The sequence below is a fragment of the Homo sapiens genome, chromosome 19 (assembly GCF_000001405.40).
Source record: "Homo sapiens chromosome 19, GRCh38.p14 Primary Assembly".
NCBI classification, from domain to species: domain Eukaryota; kingdom Metazoa; phylum Chordata; class Mammalia; order Primates; family Hominidae; genus Homo; species Homo sapiens.
The window spans coordinates 23,044,774-23,047,671 of NC_000019.10; positions in this window are offsets into that span (position 1 = coordinate 23,044,774).

Sequence of the window (2,898 nt, forward strand, 5' to 3'; positions counted from 1 at the left end):
CTAGGTAATGGGCCCAGAGATATGTAACAAGAACCCCTTTGAACAGGAACCAGGCAGAAGTATTACGTTCCCTGTGTGCTGATCCCGGGGATAAGTCACTCTCTTTTATGGGAGCGTGGCAATAGCAGCAAAAAAGAGTCACATAATCTAGGTGTTGGGCCCAGAGATATGTCACAATCTCTCCTATAGGAAAAACCTAAGTAAAAGAGTCACATCACATAGATGATGGATTCACAGATATGTCACTATGCCTGCTGTGGGCAGAGTTCAGGAAGAAGGCTCATATCACCTAGGTTCTGAGCCTGACAATATGTCACAATGCATGATGAGGAAAGGGCCAAGGCAAAAATGTAACATCACCTTGGTGTTTGGCCCAACAGTATGTCACAATCTACACTGTGAGCAGAACCTAGGTAGAAGGGAAGAGGCATATCAGCTAGGTGCCAGGCCCAGTGATAGGTAACAATCCTTTCTGTGAGCAGGGACCTGGTAGAAAGAGAGAGTCACGTTACCCGGGTAATGGGTACACAGATAGGTCATAATGCTTCCTGTAGGCAGGACCCAGCAAGGAGAGTTACATCACCTGGATGTTGGACATAGCAATATGTCACAATGGCCCATGAAGGCAGGGCACAGGCAGGAGAGTCACATAATCAAGTTGTAGGGCCCAGCAATATGTCACAATGCCCTCTATGGGCAATACCGAGGCAAAAATATGGATCACACAACCTAGGTGTTGGATTCAGCAATGTGTCACAATCCAATTTGTGGCCTGCAAACCAGGCAGGTGAGTCAAATCACTCGGGTGCTGGGCAGAGGTGTATGTCACAATTATAGTTGCAGAACAATGTAGAGATAAAATTAACAATCCCACACATGTCCCATTTCTAGGTATTAGAGTCAACACTTTTTTTTTTTTTTGAGATGGGGTCTTGCTCTGTCACCGAGGCTGGAGTACAAGTGGCGCGATCTTGGCTCACTGCAACCTCCACCTCCTGGGTTTAAGTGATTCTCCTGCCTCAGTCTCCTGAATAGCTGGGACTACAGGCACGCACCACCACGCCTGGCTAATTTTTGTATTTTTAGTAGAGATGGGGTTTCACCATGTTGGCCAGGCTGGTCTCGAACTCCTGACCTTGTGATCCACCTGCCTTGGCCTCCCAAAGTGTTGTGATTACAGGTGTGAGCCACCGCGCCTGGTGAGTCAACACCTTTTGTTATGTTCAGTCTGAGTACACGAGTCACAGTCTCAACGGTTAACTGGATACACTGATGAGAGCCTCAATTGTTGCTGGGGACTGTGTCCCCTTAGTGGGGTCAAAGCTGCACACGTATGCTGAATCTTGGTCTGAGAGTCACCAACCCACATTTCAACAAAATCCGTGTATGAGAGTCAATTTTCCAACTTTTGGCTATGTCCAGGTGTGATATTCAGTACTTCAATAGCTGTGTTCATGTGGAAAGATGACAATCTTTATCGTTGGCTGGGTGTGCATAGGAGTGTCACAATGTCGCTTGTGCACTGGGCCCTGTTACAGAACTCTCTGTACTAACTGAGAGCTTTATACAATATGCATGATAGTCACAAGTTGTTCTGAGACCTTTGTTGTAGTATGGACTCAATTGTACCTGTGGACCTAAGCCCATGTATTAGAATCAACATCTCTCCAATTGGCTGGGTCCAGAGAGAAGAGTCCTCAGCTGCCTATGAGCTGGGTTTAGAAATGAGACACTAACTTAACTGTGGTCACATAATCACATGTGACAGTCACAATTTTTACTGTGGACTGCATTCACATGTGAAATTAAGGATCTCTTCAGTGGGCTCTGTCCATGTGTGAGGGCTACAAGTTATGAAAGTCAACATTGTTTGGATGTTGGGTGTAACTACACAAGTCACAATCTCAATGTGCATGGATCCATGCATAAGAGCCTCAATCTCTCTGCAAACTCCCTCTCACTAAATTATATCCTCACAGGCGTGCTGAATCTTGGTCTGTGAGTCACCAACCCCCCTGTGGACCAGGTTCACATATGAGAGTCAATTTTGCAACTTTCCATGTGGTAGGTTGTGCATGAGAGAAACACAGTCTCACCTGTGTGCCTGGTTCTGTGATGACGCTCTTTGTACCATGCAAAGACATTGCACAATATATGAAAGAATGACCATCCTTTATGACGTTCTTACTACAGAAGACTCAGGAGTTTATTCATTTCTGTAAGTCTAGCTACAAGTGGCAGTATCTCTCCTATTGGCTGTTTTGTGGCGTAAGTGTCATCATCACAACCATGAGCTGTGCTAAAGTGTATGTCACAATCCAACCTGTGAGTAGAAAGCAAACAGGAGAGTATCGTCACGTGGGTGCTGGGTTAAGAATATGTCACAATTTTTCCAAGGCAGGGACCAGGCAGGAGAGTCAAATCACCTGGTTGCCTGGCCAGGGTTATGTCACAATTCCCTCCTGAAAGCAAGACACAGACAGCAAAGTCACACCACTCTGGTGAGCTGGGCCTAGCTATGTCAGAATTCTCTCTGTAGGCAAAGTCTGGGCACAAGGGACACACCACCTTGTTGATGAACCCAGAGATATGTCACAATCTTCTGTGTGGACATAGTGCAGATAGAAGAGGAGTCACATCTCCAAAGTAATGGATGCACAGATATGTCACAAGACCTCCTATGGGCAGAACCCAGGCAAGAGTCTTTCACCCATTTGGTTTGACCCAGGGATATGTCATAATACCCAAAATACAAGGAACCCAGGTGAAAAAGGAGAGTGATATCACCTAGATGCTAGGTCCAGTGATATCTCACAATCCCCCCTTTTTATAGGGTTCAGGTAGAAAAGGAGAGTTACATCACTTAGGTGATAAACAAAAAGATATGTCCTAATTCCC